A 23,081-nucleotide genomic window follows, 5' to 3' on the forward strand; every position below is an offset into this window, starting at 1 on the left:
CAGGAGCTCTTCTTGCTGTTCCCATGCTGGGTGCTGAGAGCCAGGTGGGAAAATTCCCATCACACAGACCACTGTGTCTCCGTACCCTCCAAAACCTGACCTGCAGCTGGGACCCCAGGCCACAGAAATAAACATAACCTAAATCTCATACTTTTGAATTTTGCTTTTCAATTTTCATAGCCTTTTCACATTTATTTTTCTTATGGCCTCCAACCACCCTGAAGGGATGCAGGCAAGTGTTACGTCACCCTCACTTTTGCAGATGAGCAAACGGGGGTACAGGCTGAGGAATGTGCCTGGGGCCACACAGCTAATTGCTGGCAGAGCCAGCACTGGGCCCAGTCTCCAAGCTTCTGGTCACAGCCCCAGCCCCCCTGCCACATTCCCAGGCAGGCCCCAGGCTCGGGAAAGGATGTGGGGTGCAGGGTGGGTCTGGATACGTGGATGGTGAGCTCTCTGGCGCTGCCTGGGCCTCTTTCCCTGTGGATCAGGGAGTTCAGACTCATGGCCTTGGAGATTCCTGTCAACTCCAAGGTTCCCCGGCTCCATGACTCCATCACACTTGCCCTCCTCCTTATCAGGAAACCCACCCTTCAACATTTCTCTTTCCACTTTTGGGAAATGCTGGCAGAAATGGAGGACAAAGCTGTATCAGCATTGTAGAACTGGAGAAGGAACTGGGCTTACACAGAGGGACAGGCACTAGAAAGTGACATAAAAAAAGAGGGCACTCCCCCTTACCAATGAAGGATGTGTCGTCTAAGGGGAGAGACAGGCTGCCAGGCAGTCCTATGTAGGCTAAGAAAATAGAGGGAGGCTTATGTTTGCATGTCCATTGCAAAACCATCTCCTTCCATCAGCAAACATTCTCTTCTCGGCTTCCCCCAGCTAGATGCATGGCCGGCCTGAGCTAGGAGGCAGTTACTGGGGCTTCCTCTAGGCCAACCTCAAAAGGCTTCTTTAGGAATGCAGGGATGTTGTTGGGATCTGGATGTCACAAGGGACGTGGTTGGCAGGGACCCTCTGATACCCGCAGGGAGCTTGGCCTGATGGATCCGGGAAACACCTCAGGGCCTCCATAGGAAAGGCTGTTGGTGGGGAGGGGGCTGCTTGGAAATGGATCCACTTGGGTAGACACCTAGAAGAGGTGATGTCCTAAACTGCAGCCCCAGCCCCAGGGGCCCATCTCGCCCAGCTCTGGCCCTGAAAAGACGTTCCATTCCCCTTCCCTGGAAACCCCCTCACTTACAGGAAGCTGGGTGTTATCTTAAGGTCTATAAACGGCCTGCCTGCTTTTCCAGCTGGAGCTGTTCATTCAGAACAATTAGCATGCAGTTTGGAGCTGGATGGAACATATGGCAGAGGGGGTCCCCAGGAGCCAGCGTGTGGCAGCCTGAGAAGGAGGGGAGCAGCCTGAGAGGCACGGGAAGGGGCACGTGGGAAGGGGAGGGCTCCCAGCCCGCTGCCTGGTCCAGGTACACCTGCTTTTAATCCTGGAGGGAACAGAACCAAGGGCTGGTGTGAATTCCTTATGCATCTCAGGTCACAGATGCATTAAACGTCCCCTAAATCAGCATTTTATATCAAGAGACTTGAAAAGCCCATAAGCCCTGAGCAATGTCCTTCTCTGGAGAGCTTCAGGGCAAATATCCAGGGGTCTGCACAGGATGCAGGTGGAGGTACTGAGGAACAAATGTCTCCCTAGACACTCTTGGGCATTCATTTATTCACTAAATATTGAGGGCCTACTATGTGCCAATTACTGTCCTGGGTATTAGAGATACATCTGTGAAGAAAACAAACCAAGATCCCTGCCCATGTGTAGCGTCAGACAATAAATGTAATACATAAGTAAACTGTTGAGGGTGTTAGCAGGAGTTAGCCTCGTGAAGTCAGCCTATGAGGTAGTATTGTGATTTCCTCCTTACACGCAAGGAAATGAAAACCAAAAGAGTATCTAAAAAGCATGTTCAAGTTCTCCGAGCTAGTAAGTGGTGGGATCTGGATTCGAACCCATCTGGCCCAGCGCCACACACTCACCTCGTCTTGAAGATGGACAAGACACCCACCTGAGCAAGCTCCAGTTTACCACTCCAGATGATCTGGGTGGGCAGTAGAATCAGAGGCTCCAGAGCAGAAAGAGCTCTTAAGAGATTGCCACTCCGGCTTCAGCCTTTTACAGTGGAGTCACAACCTCCGGAGTTGTGTCTAGTGATGTGTGTAAGGTCACACAGCCAGGCAAACTATTATAGAACTGACACCTGGAGGCCTGACTTGCAGGCAAGGGTCCTTTCTACCCAACCACACTGACCTGCTTAGGGCTCTCAGCAAGACCACAAGTGGCTCTCTCAAAAGATCCAGCCTGCTGCGAACTCCCTGAACCCCTTCATGCTTCAGAGAGCACGCATACACCCTCCAGCACCCCCTACCTGCCCCAGGTCAGAGGCACTTGCAGTCTAGACAGTGGCTGGTTCTTGGGCACCCCCACCCCAGGCAGTGATCCGGCATAGCTGGAGGGGAGCCACTCAGCGCACGGCACCCACTCCAGCTCACATTTTAATGTGCTCAAAGAAATGGCTGTAAACAGGTGTCAGGTGTCTTGCATGGTCAGGAGCTAACCAGTGCCCTGTCTGGAAGAAAAATTGCAGTAACAGCATCGGGAACGACTGCAAAGGTGGAAGGGAGGGGAGAGAAGAGGCAAACCGACTGAAGTGTGGTGGTTATGACACTTAAATTGGATCCCAGGGCAGGTAAAGAGCAGAGCTATAAATCCAGCCTCCTGAAAGAATATTCCGGAGGCAGGAGACACAAGCTCACTTAAAATATGTCTGAGATGAGAACCAAAGATCGTTATTTTTGAGCAAGGATATAAAATGCTAAACACTGCCTTTATTAGTCCTTTTTAAAAGCCAGGTGTAAAATACTGCCATTCCCCAGATTGTGTTTTTCCTTTTTTTTTCTTTAATGGCAGAAATTAAAATCTCCTTAAGCCATTAGCCATCCCTCCCCAAGGTGAGCCCCAAAAGTGGCTCTACCAGGGGCCTCTCCCCTCACCCAGGAGGCATGGTGGCCATTCACCAAGTCTCTCACACCCCTTCCCACCCCTCCCTCCCCGCCACTGGCACTGAATACCTGCCCGGCGGCAGGTGGCTGAAAAGGCTGGGAAGTTTTATGGGTCTGCCTCAGTAGGCCCTGTCTCCCACCAGTTGCCAATTTGGTCGGTTGCTCCCCATTCGCAAATACCTAACGCTAAAGATATTCCACCCACTGGAGCGCTACCAGGGCAGCCCCCCACCCCCCAGGGAGCTCACTGATGCAGGTTTAGGTGCCATTGAAGTCCACTTCTACTCCCAGGCCCGCTTCTCCTGGGCTGGCTTTTCTTTCTGCCTTCCCACTCTGTCCTTTCTTTCTTTTTTTCTTTTCTTTCCATCAAAGGCTGGTACTACCAGAGAAAAAGTTCATAAAAATGTTATGTCCACCATAAAACCCTTAATGTGGCATTCTGCATGATCCATGCATTAACATTAACATTTCCCAGACAGTTATTGTGAGATAATGGTCCCAGCTATAATTCAGCTGTAACGTTCCTTCGAGCAAATGTTATGGAGGAATAAATGACTTGCCGAGTGTGCTGAGGCAGTGGGGGTGGAGGAGAGGTGAACAGCTTGAAAATGCAGACTCTGGACCCTAGAGACCCCGGCACAGCCGTGGAGGGGTCTGGGACTCATTCTAGGTCGGACCATGGGCTCTCTGGGGACTGAGAGACCAGGCCCCACTACCCCCTCCCCCATTTTCGTTTCACACAAATTGCATCTTTCTTCCCAGGGTTGCATTTGGAGAATTTGCTGAGAGAATGGATTTAAGGCCACAGGGTTCCCAGTAGGGTTGAGAGGGTGAAGAGGAGCTTTGGCATCTTAACCAGCCTCTTCCTCCCCGTTTCTCCTTCTCTGTGGGCCCAGCACACTTTATACTCACCTCTGCTACAGCACTTCTCAGCTTGTCTTTTTGCTATTTGTTTTTCGTTTCTGTGTCCCTTGACATACCTGTGCCCTCCTTAAGAGCAGTTTGTACATCGTAGTCTTCTTGGTGACCTAGCACAAAGCAGATACTCATTTGTTGGAAATAAGGATGGATGAATGGACAGATGGACGGATGGACAGTTGTCTGAGTGACAACAGAAGAAAAAGTTACAGAAATGCAAGCAGACCAGAAGATGGACAGGACTTGACATTAACAATAAAGGGAGCCTGGGTGCGGTGGCTCACACCCATAATCCCAGCACCTTGGGAGGCAGAGGCAGGTGGATCACCAGCCTGGCCAACATGGTGAAACCCTGTGTCTACTGAAAATACAAAATTAGCCAGGTGTGGTGGTGCACACCTGTAATCCCCAGCTACTCAGGAGGCTGAGGCAGGAGAATCGCTTGAACCTGGGAGGTAGAGGTTGCAGTGAGCCGAGATTGCACCATTGCACCCCAGCCTGTGCAAAAAGAGTGAAACTCTGTCTCAAAAAAACAAACTATAACAACAACAACAAAAAACAATAAAGGGGGACATACCCCAAAACATTTATGAAGTGAAATCATAAGTGTTCGATATGTCCCTTAGGGATCTGCCACTGTATTCACTTTACTCTTTAGGAAAAAGAGGCCTAGAGACGTTGGTGAACAGGCCAGGACTAGAATTCTGGGCCACCAGTTTAATGCTCTACCAGCTGCCATCTTGCTGCTAATATGCAAAGCTAATCATATGTATGCAAAGAAACCCTTTCTACCCTCAAGGAGTTTGCTCCCTAGTGGAGGAAACACATCAGCACAAATGCAACTCACCATAGGCAAGGTAGATTACAATGAGTGCTGCCATGGGAAATGTCTTCAATTTGGAAACACAAAATGTACTGCCAAGGCTAGGGGCCTTGATGGATGAGCAAGACCCAAAAAGGCAAACATCGAGGGGAGAGGAGGGAAAACATTTGAGACAGAGAAGGCAGTGTGGGCAAAGGCACAGAGATGATTGGAGACGAGAATTTCCCACAGATATTTAATTTGTGCAGTATCAGCTGGTGTTGAGCGTATGGTCCCGGGAGACCCCTGGCCACTGGGATGGCCTTCCTTAGAATGTGCCCTATTACTGCTTCTTGCTGCCCCTTCCTGCCAAGTTTCAGCTTATGGATCATGCCCTTGGCCACGATGGGTAGCTCCTTGGCTTATGTGTGGGCTGGGCCTGGCCAGCCTCAGCATTGCCCAGCCAGCTGCCTCGGAGCTCAGGAGGAACCACCCCCAAGAATGGCAGCACCCCCAACCCTAGGGCTTTCCTTTCCCACCTCTGCTCAGTCCTGCTCATGCTCTGGGGAAGACTCAGCGGGAGCTGCATTCCTCCAGACATGTCAGGAGAAGCACAAGAGAAGATGCTGGCTCTTTTCCAAATGCCACATGTCATGGCCACCATGATCTCTCCCAAGAGCAGCTCCCCGGAATGCAGGGCCAGATTTATTACACCAGCAAAGGAGATGGCGACCTCCACAATGTGTTCACAGGACTCGGGGGAGGCTTTGCCCCAATCAGAAATATCTTCCCCACTCAGGAGTTTCATAATAACCAAGAGCTGGAAGGGGCCGTGGAGGTCACCTGGTTTAACTGCCGTGCTGTGATGGCATCTCTGATTAGAGAGGCTTTTCTTGTCTCCTAACAACTCCTGGTGACGGCAGCTCTCCCATTCTGGGTTGGTTCTCACTAGTAGGACTCCCTCACATAAAGGGGAAATTGGTCTCTCTGTCCCTTCCACCCTCTGTCCTAGTTCAGCACTCTCGCCTGCACAGTGTAAGACCAACCATCTTCTGCATGGTAGTTCTTTAAATATTGAAGGTAACAGTCATGTTCCTCCAAGATCTTCTGTTCTGGAAGTATGTACCTTTCTTAAGCATCCTAGCCTTCCTCCACAGATGCACTCCATATTACCAATGTTCCTCTTATGGAGTAAACACGCTCCTCCTGTGTGGTCTGAACCATTGACTCCTTCATCTGGACACCAGTCTGCAGTCATCTTGTAGTCATTCAGCCTGAGATCACAATTACCTCTTCCTTTCTTTCTTTCTTTCTTTCTTTCTTTCCTTCCTTCCTTCCTCTCTCTCTTTCTTCCTTCCTTCCTCTCTCTTCCTTCCTTTCTCTCTCTCTTTCTTCCTTCCTTCCTCTCTTTCTTCCTTCCATCCTTGCACATCACAACACTGGTACCAACTGAATTTTCATTCCAACATCCCTTTATTTTTTTCCCACATGACATGCTTTCAAATTCCATCTCCCTCACCCATACAGTTTGCATTTTACTCTAACAGTACCAATTTTTTTTTTTTTTTTTTTAGAGAAGTCTCACTCTTGTCCCCCAGGCTTAAGTGCAATGGTTCGATCTCAGCTCACTGCAAACTCCACCTCCCAGGTTCAAACGATTCTCCCACCTCTGCCTCCTAAGTAGCTGGGATTAAGGCACCGGCCACCACGCCCGGGTAATTTTTGCATTTTTTAGTAGAGACAGGGTTTCACCATGTTGGCCAGGCTGGTATCGAACTCCTGACCTCAGGTGATCTGCCCGCCTTGGCCTTCCAAAGTGCTGAAATTACAGGCGTGAGCGACTGTGCCCGGCCTCTAACAGTACCAATTTATATTTCTCTCTACTCAACATCATCTTCTTGCTTTCAGCCTGTAATTTCTGCCTCATGAGCTCTTTCTCAATCTTAATTCTCTCTGTAAACACATTAACTATTTATTTCAGTGTGTGGAATGATCAGCACACCTTCCATAGTGTCATGCAAATCTTTGGCAAAAATTCTCAACAGTATAAAGCTGGTTACTTCAGCATGAAACAGCTCCTTCCAGACTGAATTCTACTGACCAACATTGATTGGAGACAATCACTCACCTAGCTAAAAACTCTTCCGGTTCCGCCATTCAAGCTACTCTTCTTCATCCTACCCAGAAGGATATCATGGAAGACTTTGTCATACTGCTTACTGAAATCAAGATATTTTTCAGAATTTTCCTTATGCCAGCCTAGGAATTCTATGTGTGTGTTTTTTTAAAGGGCAATAAAGTTAGTTTGACATGACTGTTTTTCAGTGAAGCCATTCTGGTTCTTGGTCATCTCTTCTTTCTTTCATAAATAATACTATTAGGCCGGGCGCGGTGGCTCACACCTGTAATCCCAGCACTTTGGGAGGCTGAGGCGGGTGGATCACAAGGTCAGGAGTTCGAGACCAGCCTGAGCAACATGGTGAAACCACATCTCTACTAAAAATACAAAAATTAACCAGGCATGGTGGCGCATGCCTGTAATCCCAGCTACTCAGGAGTCTGAGGCAGGAGAATTGCTTGAACCCAGGAGGCGGAGGTTGCAGTGAGCCGAGATCCTACCACTGCACTCCAGCCTGTGAGATAGAGTGAGACTCTGTCTCAAAAAAAAAAATAATAAAAATAATAATATATAAATAAATAATCCTATTTAGAATTTTCATTAACAAGTAATGCCAAACTTACTGTTACATAGCTTCCAGAACCCTGATGCTTGCCACTTTTTGAAAAGAGGGAAAACTTTTGCCTCATTTCCATCTCTAAAAGCTATTTGTTTTCATCAGTTCACAAACAGCTAACAGTGGTTTTGCAATCCTGTTCTTTCCATACTCCAAGATATAATTTGCCATTGTCCACAGACTTGAGTTTATTTAAAGCTATGAGATGCTAGTTTACCATCTCCTCACCTATCTCAAACTTGAACCCTTTTAAAATCATCTTTCTGGTTTGATGATTGTTGTCCTTGAAAAAAACAAAGCCAAGTGGGAGTTCAATCGTTTGCTTTCCTTCTGTCGTCTGGTAACCTCATATGTCTGCCCCGGGATATAGCTGCCTCAATCCCTAATTTTTTTTTCTTTCCATTTTGTTTCAAGTATTGCTTTTTAAGAGAACAGGGAGAGAATGTGTGTGGTATGGGGGAGTCTGGTGGGGGAAGGTGTTTTTAGACTCCAGTTCACTCTGGTCTTTGGCCTTCCTAGCACACTTCTAACAGGCCCAGCCTACTCTTTTGTGTTGCTTTTTACTCTTCCATGCCTTGTTCCATCTTTTGTACATGTACTTTTAAATCATCACAGAACTCAGATTTGAAAATTTGGGCTAAGATGTGATGTCCATTATATTTCACATTCCCCATTAGAAAGACATGGGTTAGACCTTGCCCTCTTTTGCCAACACTCCTTAGAAATAGCATTAGCAAGGAAATCCAACCCCACCAATATTTTTTTGATCACCTCTTACGCCCAAGGCACAGTACTAGATACTGCGAGCGATACAAAAGGGAACAAGAATTGTCCCCGCCTTAGACACCATGGAGGAGGCAGACACACAAGTTGCTATAGCCCTAGGTAGAAGGGACAAGGGTTAGAATTCTGGTGTATGCAAAGTGCTGTGAAAGCCCCCCAGAAGGAGAGCCCATGTCTGCCTGGGAAGATGCAAGAAAGAGACATGAAGGGAGGTGACATTTTAAGCAGTTGTGCATCAGAGATGCAGAGAAGGCTATAAATTCCTTATGAAGGGCACAAAGGTAAAGATGCAAGATGGTGTTTGGGGAACAGCAGACAGCTTTGTGTGGTGATTGTACAGTGGACTAGGGGTAGAACGTAGCCTCGAACACTCATGTCAAGTTTTCTGTTCTACCCAGCGTCCTATCAAAGCCTTGAGCACAATGCCCTCAAATAAACTCATCAGCACCTCCTCCAAGCCTATTCTTCCTCTGTGATCCTTAAAAAAACATTTTTTAAAAAATTTTTGACATCACTGTCCTCCCAGTGAATTGAATACTGAGCTTAGAATCAAAACATCTGAATTTGCTCTTGAACCCGGGAGGTGGAGGTTACAGTGAGCGAGATCACACCACTGTACTCCAGCTTGGGTGACAGAATGAGACTGTCTCAAAGAAGAAGAAAAAAAAGTCTGAATTTGGACCTCAGATCCAGCACTTTAGATTGGGCAAGTCCTTTAGGTTCTCTGAGCCTCTGTTTCTTCATGTGTAAAATGGGAAAAACAGTGCGTAACTTTCCTCCTACAAGGGGGAGTTGTGATGATTAAATGAGAGCTAGATGAGGGCACTGCTTTGTAAGGGGTGGAGTGCTGTGTGCGGGTAAGAAGGATGTTCAGTATGATCGGGTCCCCGGATCTGTGCACCACACAGTAAAAAATTCTTTTGGATGAAACTGAAGTTTCCTGAAGCTCACTATCAAAAAAATGCCTGGTGGAGGGGAGGACCAGGAAGGCAAGAGGCAAAAGGAGAGTGTGGAGGCCACAGATCCAAGCCCATTTCAGTTGGGGCTGAAGCTGGCTGATTTTGAGACTCACTTCAAAGCCGTCTGAGTTCACGCTGAGCACCAGGTTCTGTGGGAAGTCACCCTGCTGTGCCCCAGGAGAGCAGACAGGCTGTGAGGTGAATCAGGAATATTCCATAAGGTGGTGTGTGGTGTGTTGAGGCAGGAGGGCCGGGGCAGCGGGTGCTGTGGCTCTGTGGATGACTGCAAGGGCAGACCCACCGCACCCTGCCTGCCACCCCCCGAGTGTCACGCACGGCAGGCACTCTGAGCACAGAGACAAAACCACCCACCTCGAGGAGCTCCATGGAATGGAGGAGACGCACGTGCCCATAATGCCAATTCAGCGGGCTCAGCAGCACCATACAGGTGTGCTCAGGTGATGGGAGCACAGAGGCAGAAATTACTGTCCGCCAGAGGGGCCAGGATGATCAGACAAGGTTTCCGAGGGAAGATACCCTGAGTTGAGCCTTAGGAATATGCAGTGGCACAAGTAGATAAGGTAGGAAAGGGCATTTTGAACAGAGAAAACAGCATTTAAAGATGAACAGAGGCATAAGGAAGGCCTTCGCTCGCATGCCGTGTGAAAGGCAGGGGGGAGGCTGCAGAGGAGGCCAAGCCCACTGGAGGCCCGTGTCATGCTATCGCCTTCCACCGAGGGCAACAGGGAGCTTAGACAGCAGGGATGGGAAGCAGAGAGTGTTTACGGGGCACTTAAGAAGAACTATCTGTGTGTCTTTGAAAGTAGAAGGTGAAAGAAGGGAGAAAGGGGAAAGAGAAGTCGAGGGCACCCCCAGGTTTGTTTCTTGAATGTCTGCAATGGCAGTGCCCCTCATCCAAACTGAGGAACATGGAAGAAAGGAGCAGACAGAGGGTGGGCAGGAGGGAGCTGCTGGAGTCCCTAATGGGGCCTGGTGAGTTTGGGGAGGTTGCTGTGGGTTATCCAGGTGACATCCTACCTCATTCAGTTCTGCATCTGAACTCTCCTGTCCCAAGTAGAATTTTCTCTTTCAACTGAATTGGGAGCACCTTGAGGGCAGAAACCAGGTCTGACTCATCTTTATTCCCCTCAAGGAGTTCCTGGAATCCTCACAGAGCTCCTGCTGGCTGTGAGCACTGCATGGACTTGCAAATGCCACTCCACTTCTTTACCTTGGTTTCATTTTGCACTTGAAGATAAAGCTCAAAGGACAGCATCCTGGAAAAGCACATGTACCCAGGAGGCAGACAACCCTGGCTTGAGTCCTGTCCATGCCCTTTCCTAGCTGTGATATTCAGCACATCGCAGGGCCTCCTCAAATATATACTGTCTAACGTGGCAGCTGGTAGCCACAAGCCACGTGTATCTATTCAAATAAAAATAAAAATGAAATGAAATTAAACATTCAGTGACTGAGTCACACCAGGTTTGAGCCAAGTGCTCAGTAGCCACATGGTGTCCATGGTATTGGAAAATACAGACAGAGAGCATTTCCATCACCACAGAGAGTTCTATTGGAAAGTGCCGGGCTAAGATGCAATTGGATGTTAGTACTTACCGCACAGGATGGAGTGCAGCCCTGTGAGTTCTGTGTGTAAAGCACTGGGCACAATGCCAGGCACACAAGTGACCCCCAGTAAGCACTGGCCATTATTATACTGAATGAATTAGAGGAAATAGCTGAGGTCCTGGGCTGCCGTAGGAGCATCCAAGACTTCCTTGAGGATGCAGGGCTGCGGAGCCCTGTGGGTATGCAGAGGAGACCAGCCCTGACTCTGGGGACAGTTGATGAAGGGGCTTCACCTTCCAGTTGGAGAATTTGGGGTTGGTGTCATGGTCAGCTCGTCGTGAATCACCAAAGAGAGGCACCTGGGGGATTTCAGTGATCTCAGAGCACCTGCAGTGCGGTGCCCTCACTGCGACATCACTTGCTCGCAACGTCACCATGGCCAGTTTGGATCTGCTCTGGGTCCTGGGCGGCAGCAGATGGGTTGGGAGCCAGGGTGGGTCAGGGAGGGGAGACCTTGCTCAGAAGTCCATCTGCATCTTAATGGTGGGGAAGACTCAGAGCTCGCGTCCAGATGGCCCGGCAGTTTCTCCTCCTGGGAGCATGCTGCTTCCCCGCATGCTTTTGCTCCTCTGGTGTGCTCTGCATGTCAGGGGCCAAATGGGCAGGATCCATCACTGACCTGCAGTCAGTGGGGAGGGGACAAGGCTTCGTACTTCAGCTCCCCGAGAGCCGGGCTAGATGCCCACAGCTGGGAGCAGAGGAGGCAGTGCAGCCCCCAGCTCTGGCTGTGCTGCAGAGAGTAGGGGCCATCCCAGAAACTCTCACCTTGCCTACTGCTTCCCCAGCCCTGCCCTGCCCTGCCCTGCCCCCGAGAGGACAAAAAACCTGGCAGAGATGTTCCGATGAGGATGCTCCTTGGACCCAGCCCCGGGGCAGCCCTGGCTGGACACTGGATTACCCCTGAGCAGCAGCCTCCTTAAGGGAAAAGGAGACTATTCCTTTCCTGACTTTGGGTCAGGAAAGAGAGTTGGGGAAAGGAATTTCCATGCAGCAGAAGCCCCAGGCAGGCTGGGTTCTGGCCAGAGGCTCTCACTGCTCCCCTTTGTGGCCAGCAAGTCACACCCCTCTGGTCTTCCCAACCAGGAGCCGGACAGAGTCCTCTCTAAGGCCCTCTCCGGCCCTTGGTTCTACCACAGGGTGGGCTGCAGTTACCCTCTGGCTGAAGCCTGCTCAGAGGGAGGCAGGAGGTTCACATGGGCCCACCCCTGCTCTCCACAGCATCCCCCTCTCCCCACCTCCTTCCTTTTCTCCTCCCTAGTAGGATAGATGGAGGCAGTGTGGAGAAATCCGAATAACTAATCAGAGTCCTCATTAACCCCCTGCCAGGATGCTCAAACATTCACTTTACTGTTTGTGAAGCAGGAAAAAAAAAAAAAAAAAAAAAAAAACACCTCTCTCTGCATTAAAATTGATGCGTTATTAATCCTTGTGCTCCCAAACTGGTGGGCGGCTCTGCCTCCTGCCCGAGGCCCAGCCCATGGGGTCTGCTACCTTGGACCACTTGGACTTTCTATTATTTATTGGCCCAGTGCAGAGAGGCCTTCTCACAGGGAGTGGGCTTGGTGCCAGCACAGAGGCAGCTGTTTTGTTTTCTCCCTGGCCTGGCCGGTGGGAGGCCTTTGCTCAACCCCACCCCAGGGTGCAGCTGGCAGACTGCCTTGCAGGGCTGGGAGGGCTGAGTGCATGGCAGCTAATGGTGTGTCTCTCACCAGATCTGAGGGCGTAGTGACCCGCTCCATGCTTCAGATGAGCCAGCCTGGGAGTGGGCAGCTTCTCAGTCCAGTGGTGGCTGGGCTAGAAAAGCCTTAGTGTTTGGCTCAAGTGCTGACTCTTTCTGCACACCCGAGACCACAGTGCCCCCATGGCCTCCCCAGTGCCACCCCCTACCCGAGGCTTAAAGCTGTCCTCTGGCTCTACACTACAAGCAGGTACCCTCACATTTACACCCCCTGTGTAAGAGCAGGAGTCCACAAATATTTATCTTGTGCCTGACCTTGTAGCAGGAGCTGTGAGGATTCAAGGACATGTAAGGCACAGTCTCTGTCCTCAAGGAGGCTGCGCTGGAGTGGAGGCAAAGATGTCCATACGTAAGAGGACACCATGACAACAGCAAGGGAAGGATGGAGGACGGACCCAGGGAGTGCAAAAGGCTCCTTTGCGTTCTCATGGAGCCCACGATGGTGTGCGAAGGACGCATGGAGGGAATGAGACCCACTGTGAACCCCTCATTCCCAGCCAGTTGCTACTGACTCACCCCTCTTTAGTGGTCGTCCATCCACCTGCCCCAATATGGACTTATCCGCATCTGTTGCCTGTCTTGACCTGAGAACCTCCATCCAGTGCCGGGGCCTGTGTGAACTCTCTTATGTGGCCTTCTATGCACTGGGCCCCTAAAGACAGCTTTGCATGGAGAAGAAGCTGAAAGTGCAGGATAAGAAGAAAGAGGAATTTAATCCCTAGCTTCATCTTGAATTTCACTTACTGCATCGAGAAATGATCAGAGGTAGCCTTCCCAATCTTTGACTCGGTTCCTGAGGATGATCATTCCATTACAGGCATAAACTGGGAGACATCGCAGGTTGGATTCCAGACCACCACAATAAAGACAATATGGCAATAAAGCAAGTCACATGAATCTTTTGGTTTCCCAGGGCATATAAAAGTTATGTTTACACTATACTGTAGTCTATTAAGTGTGGAATAGCATTATGCCTTAAAAAACAACATACATACCTAATTTAAAAATACTTTATTGCTTAAAAAATGCTTATGATAATCTGAGCCTTCAGCAAGTCATAATTTTTTGCTGCTGGAGGGTTTTGCCTCAGTGTTGATGGCTGCTGGCTGATTAGGAGTTTAGTTGCTGAAGGATGGGGTGGCTGTGGCAATTTCTTAAAATAAGACAACAATGAAGTTTGCTGTATTGACAGACTCACCGTCTCACAAAAGATTTCTCTGTAGCATGTGATGTTGTTTGATAGCATTTTACCCACAGTAGAACTTTTTTCAAACTTGGAGTCAATTCTCTCTAACTTTGCTGCTGCTTAATCAACCTAGTGTATGTGATATTCTAAATCCCTTGTTGTCAACAATGTGCACAGTATCTTCACCAGGAGGAGATTCCATCTCAGAAAACTGCATTCTTTGTTCATCCATAAGAAGCAATTTCTTATTCATTCAAGTTTGACCATGAGATTGCAGCAGTTCAGTCACATCTTCAGGCTCCACTTCTCATTCTAGTTCTCTTGCTATTTCCACCACACCTGCAGCTATTCCTCCCACTGAAATCTTGAACCCCTCAAAGTCATCTATGAGGCTTGAAATCAACTTCTTCTAAATCCCTGTTAATGTTGATATTTTGACCTCCTCCCATGAATCATGAATGCTCTTAATGGCACTAGAATGGTGAATCCTTTCCAGAAAGTTTTTAATTTTCTTTTCTCAGATCCACCAGAGGAATTGCTATCTATGGCAGCAAGAGCCTTAACAAAATGTACTCTTAAATAATAAGACATGAAAGTCAAAAGTATTCCTTGATCTGTGGGCTGCAGAATGGATGTTGTGTTAGCAGGCACTAAAACTACATTAATCTCCTTGTACATCTCCATCAGAGCTCTTGGGTAATCACGTGCATTGCCAATGACTGGTAACATTTTGAAAGGAATCTTTGTTTCTGAGCAGTAGGTCTCAACGTTGGGCTTAAAATATTCAGTAAACCATGTGGTAAACAGATGAGCTGTCACCCAGGCTTTGTTGTTCCATTTATAGAGTGCAGGCAAAGCAGATTTAGCATCATTCTTAAGGGTCCTAGGACTTTTGGAATGGTAAATGAGCCCTGGCTTCAACCTAAAGTCACCAGCTGCATTGGCCAGTAATAAAAAAGTCAACCTGTTTTTTTGTGGATTTGAAGCCAGACATTGACTTCTCCTTTCTAGCTATGAAAGTCCTGGATGGCATATTCTTTCAACATAAGGCTATTTTGTCTACACTGAAAAAATTTGTTGTTTACTGTAGCCTTCATCAGTGATCTTAGCTAGGTCTTCTGGATAACTTGATGCAGCTTCTATAATACATCAGCACTTGCTGCTTCACCTTGCACTTTTATGTTATAGAGATAGTTTCTTTCTTTAAACCTCATAAACCAACCTCTGCTATCTTCCAACTTTTATTTTTTAATTTTTTTGGAGACAGAGTCTTGCTCTGTCACCCAGGCTGGAATACAATGGTGCAATCTCGACTCACTGCAACTTCTGCCCCCTGGGTTCAAGTGATTATCCTGCCTCAGCCTCCTCAGTAGCTGGGATTACAGGCACCCGCCATCATGCCTGGCTAATTTTTTTTTTTTTTTTTTTGTATTTTTAGTAGAGACGAGGTTTTACCATGTTGCCCAGGTTGGTCTCAAACTCCTGACCTCAGGTGATCCACCCACCTTGGCCTCCAAAAGTGCTGGGATTACAGGTGTGAGCCACTGTGCCCTGCCCCAACTTTTCTTCTGCAGCTTTCTCACCTCTCTCCGCCTTCATAGAATTGAAGAGAGTTATGGCCTTGCTCTGGATTAGGCTTTGGCTTTAGAGAATGTTGTGTTTGGTTTGATCTTCTATCCAGACCATTCAAACGTTTACCACGTCAGCAATAAGACTGTCTCACTCACTTCTCTATCACGTGTTCACTGGAGTAGCACTTTAAACTTCTCTCAAGAACTTTTCCTTTGAATTCACAACTTGGCTGTTTGACACAAAGGCCTAACTTTTGCCCTATCTCAATGATATGGTTCGGCTCTTTGTCCCTACCCAAATCTCATTTCAAATTGTAATCCCTGCCTGTTGAGGGAGGGACCTGGTGGAGGTGATTAGATCATGAGTGAGTTTCCCCCATGCTGTTCTTGTGAAAGTGAGTGAGTTTTCATGAGATCTGATGGTTTATAAGTGTCTGGCGGTTCCTCTCACCCTTTTATCCTGCTGTTATGTAAGACGTGCCTTGCTTCCCCTTCACCTTCCACCATGATTTTAAGTTTCCTGAGGCCTCCCCAGTCATGCTGAATTGTGAGTTGGTTAAACTTCTTTTGTTCATAAATTACCCAGTCTCAGGTATTTCTTTATAGCAATGTGAAAACAGACTAATACACTCAGTTTTTGACATGCCTCCCTCACTAAGCTTAATCATTTCTAACTTTTGATTTAAAGTGAGAAACATGGGACTCCTTTCACTAGAACACTTAGAGGTCACTGTAGGGTTATTAATTGACCTAATTTTAATATTGTTGTGCCTCACACACATGACATTTATTGATTAAGTTCACCATCTTATAGGGGTACATTTTATGGCACCCCAAAATAATTACAATAATAACATCAAAGATCACTCATCACAGATCACCATAACATATATAATAATGAAAAAGTCTGAAATATTGTGAGAATTACCAAAACGTGACACACAGACATGAAGTGAGTACCTGCTGTTGGAAAAATTGTACTGATAAACTTGCTCAATGCGGTGTTGCCATGAACCTTCAATTTGTAAAAAATGCAATATCTGCAAAGCACACCAAAGTGAAGCGCAATAAAATGAGATGTGTCTGTAATATTTTTAAGTGCTACCAGGTGCTGGGGTTTCAAGAGGAGCAAAACAAGCCTGGACTCTTGTCCACATGGAGTTTTATAGCCTAATGGAGAAAACAGGCATTACTCAAATAATCACATATAATATATAATTACAACATTAATTAAATTCTCAAACTGAATTAAGAAATGCATATAACAAAGGAGGCTTACCTGAGAGGTCACTGTAGCTCCCCTGAGGAAGTGACTCTTGAGTTGAGATGTGAAAGCAAAGCAGGAGAAAGAGCACCTTCCAGGAACATGGGTAGCTTGTGCAAAGGCCCTGTGGTGGGAAGAAGCATGGCTTGTTTGAGGGCACAAAGGCCTGGGTGGATGGAGGCCAAACAGCAAGCTAGATGAGGCTGGAAAGGTGGGAAGGGCCAGACTGACCTTCTAGACCATGGTAAAGATTTTGACGTTGATCTCAAGAATGGGAAAGCCATATTGTGCTTGAAACAAGGGAGGTATGACCATGTAATAGAGTATTTGCACCTTCAAAAAGATCTTTCTAGCTGTTTAAAGGAAAACAGATGGAGAGTGTCAAGAATGTTAAATGGGTCCTCATATCCCTTGCTGTTTCCTGTTTCTCATTTTAGTGAGCAGAAGTCTATAGAATGTTCCGGTGCTTTATGAAAGGAGAGGCATATTTAAATTCTGGTTACCCAGTATTCAGTCTAAAGTGGGAATCTAGGAACCATAGAAATAAGCTATAGCCCTTGAATTAGCACCCCTCCTTTTCTAACACAGCAGAGATTCAGGAGGTTACGACCACTTTGATCATTATAGACCCAGGACTGAGATGTACATGGTACCCTGTAGAACAAGAGATACACCCTAGGATCGGTGAGACCAGATGTCAGGAGGGAAGGTAGGAGCTGAGAGGATGAATGGGCTGGGCTTGGAGGAACAGGAGGGTGGGCAGCAGAGGAGCCAGAGATGCAGAAAGGTGAGGTGACTCCTGGTGTTCCAGGTACTGAAATGCCCTGTCAAGCTAGGCATACAGGCTCCATGAGACACACACAAGCCTGCAACCTCCATTGGCTGCAAGCACCTCCTCCCCATTTAGCTAATGGCTCCTCTATCCTCTGTTATTCCAGCTTGCTACTCTTAAAGAAACTGCTTGTGTCTAGCTTCGGACCAGAGCCCTTCTTTCTTTCACCTCAACAAATATGAATTGATCACATTTGCTGTGTAAAGATGCTCTGAGGGTCAAAAAAATCCCCACACTGCCCTTGCCCTTAAGCGTGCTGCCTCCTGGAGGGAGGTGGATATGTAAACAGTTAACCCTTAGGAGGCAGGATGACAGAAGCACTCCATGCTGGCAACCACACAACCTGCTTTGCCTGGCATGGTCTCCGTTGCAACCTGTAGTTGCTGTGTAATTAGTCATTGTGCTCTCTTTCACTCTCAAAATTACTCCAGTTTGGATGATATATTGTGGGGTCATCCTAACAGTGTGCCATGGCTGTAAAGAGCTATGAGCAATTCTTTGTAGCAATTCAGGAGGCATCACAGAATAAATAACATTTGAGCTGAGTCCTTGAGGAAGAGCTGTATTTCAACTATTAGAGTACGGAAAGAGGGCATCCCAGTCTTGGAACAAGCAAAGGCCTGGAGGTGTCTAAAAGTGGAATCTGTATAGGAGAGGGTGAGTACAGTTTAACTATAACCCAGAGCAGAGATCAGCAAACTTTTTCTGTAAAATTTCGAACAGTAAATAGTTCAGGTCTTGTGTTGCAACTGCAATCATCCCTCGGTATCTGTGGGGGACTGATTTCAAGACCAACCACAGATACGAAAATTCACAGATGCTCAAGTCCCTTATATAAAATGGTGTAGTATTTGCATATAACCTACGCACATACTCCTGTATACTTTAAATCTCTAGATTACTTATAATACCTAATACAATGTAAATGCTATGTAAATAGTTGTCCTACTGTATTGTTTAGGGAATAATGACAAGAAAAATGTCGGCACATGTTCAGTACAGATTAAATTTTTTTCCCAAATATTTTCTATCTGCAGTTGGTTGAATCAGCAGATGTGGAACCCACAGATACAGAGGGCTGACCATGTTCAACGCTGTCATCACAGTGGGAAACAGCCATAGACAATAGTAAACAAATGGGCGTGGCTGTGTTCTAATAAAACTTTAATTACAAAAACAGGCAGCCTCAGGATTTGGCTTGTGAGTTTATGTCTTAGTCCTTTTGGGCTGCTGTCACAAGATACCTTAGACTGGGTAATGTAGAAAACACTGGAATTTATTTCTCACAGTTCTGGAGATTTGAACTCTAAGATCAAGGCATCAGCAGATTCAGTGTTTAGTGAGGGCTCCTTTCTCATAGATGGGAACTTCTATGTGTCCTCACACAGGGGGTGGGCAAAAGGAGCTCACTCGAGTCTTTTTTATAAGGCCACCAATCCCATTGATGAGGGCAGAGCCCTCATAAATTAATCACTTCCCAAAAGGCTCCATCTTTTAATAGCACCACAGTGGGGATCAGGTTTCCATGCAAGTTTTGGAGAGGCACATTCAGACCATAGGGTGTGGTTTGCCAGCCCCTGACCTGGCGTCCTTGAAGGAGAGTCATAGGCTAGAAGTTAGGTAGGAGCCATGTCATGAAAGGTCTCGAATACCTGCACTAAAGATGTGTCTTATTCAAAAAAAAACGTATATATATGTTTTTGAGCATAGGAATGGGTGATCTGAGGTCCTAGGGTTTATTGTCAGAGTTTAGAGGGTACTGGAGAAAAATGGGGAACAGCAGTGCAGAGAAAGACCGAGCTTTGGGAAGCATATCCAAGTGCCGGTAGCCATCCCTCCAGACTCTGCCCTTTCGTTCTACAGCCCCCTCCACTGCCTGTCCTCTTCATCATTATGACAGTGCTGAGGGACCTTGTCCTCTCTTATGCAGACACAGTCACAAGCTGCTGTCCTCTGCGTTTTCCATGAAGTGAAGCCCACTAATGACCACCTTCCCCGCCCCACCCAGGATGGCGCTGCTCTCGTGGGGGTTTAATCCTGATGAGCCCAGTGGCTCCTGGGCAGCATCACGCCCAGAACTCCCCATGGATGATGACACCCTCACTGCTGAATCACTGTGGCAGATACTTGGCTGCAGAGCTGGAAGGGGGAGCAGTTAGTCATCTGCCATCACCCCTGTGTCCCCCAGATCCCCCAGAGTGTGCAGGTCACCTTTCCATTGAATATCCCAATAGATCAACTTGAGATTTCAATATTGATTATTTTTGTGACCTTAGCCGAGACAGTTAAGTCTCAGTTTTGCTTATTCTGTCTGTAAAATGGGTATATTGATACCAGAACTACCAACCTCACAAAGTTACAGTGAAGCATAAACAAAAAGTTAACGGATGGGATTGGACATGCTTTGGGTTGTATACATCATCTTGCAGATAACCCCAGTACATAAAGTCTTATTAACACTGGACCAAGGCAGAGCAAGGAGTCCCCTGATGCAGACCATGGTGGAAGGGACCATCTGGTCCTAACCTCACTTTGCAGATGGAGAAACTGAGGCCCAGAGCAGTGACGTGCTGATGCAGGAGAGTTATGGATGGAGGCCAGGTATCTTGGCTCCCAGTGCGTTTCCAGCATCCGTGAGTTTCTCGGTGCCAATTTTGTAAGTACAGGGATCCTGGGCTCTGCTTTGAGCCCAGGTCAAAATCACCATGGCTGGAAGGGAAGTCCTAACTTTCAGATGTCCTTTCAAATACCAACTCTTCACAAACAGCCTAGGGAGAAAGGCATTTTAAATAAAATGCTTTTTACCATGCCTTCCACTTCTGAAATTCATTTCTCAGCAGTGTCTGAATGAGAATTTTACAGACATTTCATTTCCCTTCCTTGTTGCCTTCCTTTGCTGTCCTCCAGGAGCTGGTTATGACTGAAACCTCTGCAAGGCACAAGGTGTAAATCTTCCCTGAGTGGGAGCTATGCCCCAGGGTGCAGGTCATCGGATTGGCACCATCTCCATAAGCGGTGTGGTCATCACAGGAGGAAATAGAGCCCTGAGAAGGGCAGGGAGGCACAGAGAGATTAATTTCTTCAATGTCATGCTTCCTCTGCGTTCCTTAATAACGAAAATTTACATGTGTGGGGAAAATCGCAATTTCTCCTGGAAGGCATGGAAGGAAAAGTCAGAGAGAGGCTTCCGACTGTTTTGCAAGTGGGTGTGAGCCTAGGGCTCTGTATCCATCTGACCTGGAATCTTCTGGCTGCTTACTGTGTGTGGCATGACCCTGAACTGGAATCTGTGCCTTTGTGTGTCTGTGACACTGTTTCTGGGGTTGTGTGTGTGTGTGTGTGTGTTGTCACTGATGTCTTTGTGACTGTGTAGATCAATGTGTGTTTCTTTAAAAAAATATATATCTCATTTCCTGCATAAATTACTCCATGTAAAAGGCCATCCGGAGCTCAGTTCCTAGCATCCTTTTTCAATAAAGCAATATTATCAGAGCCTGGTCCCAAAACTAGTCCCAAGAGAGGCTTTTCCTAGATTCTTTGTCAAATGAAATGTCACCGACTCACCAAATGATGAGAAGAAGAATTCTTCTTGTTTATTTCCCAAGAGAGGCAGAACAGAAGCAGCTCACCCTCTTTATAGCTTTTCCTGGACTAGATAGGCAGGTGGACTCCACCCTTTCCCTTCACCCCTTAACCAGTTTTCTTTGGGCCAGTCGCTTAACTTTCTAACCTCAGTTTTCCCTTTTTAAAAATAGGACTAATAATAACTACTTTCCAAAGTTGCTGCAAGGCTTAAATAATAAATTGGATAATATGGTTCTTCGTAAAGGAGATCAGCATGTGGTGTGTTATACACTCCACATGTCCTCTGCTGAATATATACATGTATTTACTCCTTTATCCAGCAAATATGCTGAACACCTTATATGTACAAAATACATCTTAGGCTCTGGGGAGCTCTATAGGCTTGAGATTCCATTTAGGATTATATAATCAAGTGGGGTGGCAGAGTAGTACCCAGACGATCACAATGTGGCTGGCTAAGTGTGAAGAGAACTGTGCATAGGATGCTGTAAGTGGCTGGAACGGTCCTCGTGCAGCCTGTGGAGGATGCAGCAGCCCCCAGAGAGATGGATCAGGAGGGAATTGCTGAGCTGAGATGTGGCTGTGGAGATGGAAAGGAAGAAAATGTAGCTCACTCTATCTGGTGGCAGAGGCAAAAACAAACAGATTGTACCAAGATGCACTTACCTTCACCTGCTTCTGGAGAGAGCCATTGGAGCTGGGGAGCCTGCTTGGAACCCAGAGTCATCAAGCAGGCTGGCTTGGGGAGAGAGCAAGGACTCAGAGGCTGAGGGTCTGACCACTGGGGAAAGGGATGGGAGGGGAGGAGTGAGAGAAGGAGGCTAGGCTGAGTTTTGTAAGGAAAGTAGAGACAGGCAGGGCCTTGCAGAGATGTTCAATGTCAAAGTCTTCTGATGGGGCTGAAGGTTCCCCAAATAAGAAAATCCTGCTGGGCAAGTGAAAGGCTTTTTCTAAAGTCCCTTTCAAGTGGGCTGGTCTTAGCTGAATTAAAGCGGACATTTGCTTTTCATGATGCATTCCCAATTACCAATCTCTCCCCCAGGCCCCTTTCTCCAGAAAGAAAATTTGTGACTGGCCAAACTCTGCCCAGGTCTCTTGACTGCTTCTGGCATTCCTGCTTATCCGTTCTTTCCCTCATTTAATAGATGCACGTTGATCCTGATGCTAGGCCAGGGCTGGAAGTGCAGGTGAGGAATACAGAGTCCCTGCTCTCTGGAAGCTCAGAGCTTAGTGGGAGGGACACACCTAGGAACAGATAATTCAGTGACACAGCCTGGAGTTCATGGCTAAGGACTTTGGACTTTGTCTTGGAGATATGGTCCCAGGTATTAGGGGAGCAGAAAGGAAGGAATGACAGACACCCTGTATGGGGCTCAGTGGTCATGAGAGAAAATCTAACAGAGCCGAGTCTCAGAGGATGAGAAAGATTCTGCTAGATGAGATCTAAACAAGTTATTATTGCTATCATTGTCACTAATGACAATAGTCATCATTTATGAAAGACTCAGTCTACGTCATTGCCAAGCCCTTTGCTATCTGCTAAGCATATCACACATCTAATGTAATACTATCAAATCCCAGGAAGCATCCTGTGAGTTGGGTATTATTGTAACCATTTTACAGAAGTAGGAAAACCGTGACTTATACAGCTAGGAAAACAGAAACCTAGGATTGGAATTCAAGGTTGTCTGACTTCACCTTTCCACCCATCGTATTCTCTCTCCCACATTCACTTAGTGTTACTGCAGGAAGCATGCAAAATAATACATAGTTTAGTCAACAGCTCTCAATTCAAGAACACATTGAAATATAAAGAACTCTAATATCTTTGGCAATGAATAATAATAACTAAGTAAGCAAACCATCAACTGAACTGGTTCAGCATTGATCTGATTTAATATTTTCTAGTAGCAGCTCCTCTTCATGTGACAGGAACAGTACTTTCCATGATCTCCATGGGTACAGTACTCACCTAGGTATGTATGGAAGGAATAAGAGAAATATGAAAGTCTCACA

At 47.0% G+C, this 23,081-nt stretch overlaps 1 protein-coding gene across 28 annotated transcripts in view, besides 1 other annotated feature; it reads left to right on the forward strand.

The window, feature by feature from the left end:
* The window catches only part of PKNOX2 (PBX/knotted 1 homeobox 2), a 268,639-nt gene that overhangs the window by 138,301 nt on the left and 107,257 nt on the right, over window positions 1-23,081 (forward strand). The gene's annotated exons all lie outside the window — the stretch shown is intronic.
* Window positions 9,047-9,631: an enhancer, noted in NCBI's record as "H3K4me1 hESC enhancer chr11:125181994-125182578 (GRCh37/hg19 assembly coordinates)". NCBI's record gives its function as "activates a minimal SCP1, AML or CMV promoter by ChIP-STARR-seq in naive H9 embryonic stem cells {active_cell/tissue: H9 hESC(naive)}" and the evidence as "EXISTENCE:reporter gene assay evidence [ECO:0000049][PMID:30033119]".

The sequence above is a fragment of the Homo sapiens genome, chromosome 11 (assembly GCF_000001405.40).
Source record: "Homo sapiens chromosome 11, GRCh38.p14 Primary Assembly".
Taxonomy (NCBI): Eukaryota; Metazoa; Chordata; class Mammalia; order Primates; family Hominidae; genus Homo; species Homo sapiens.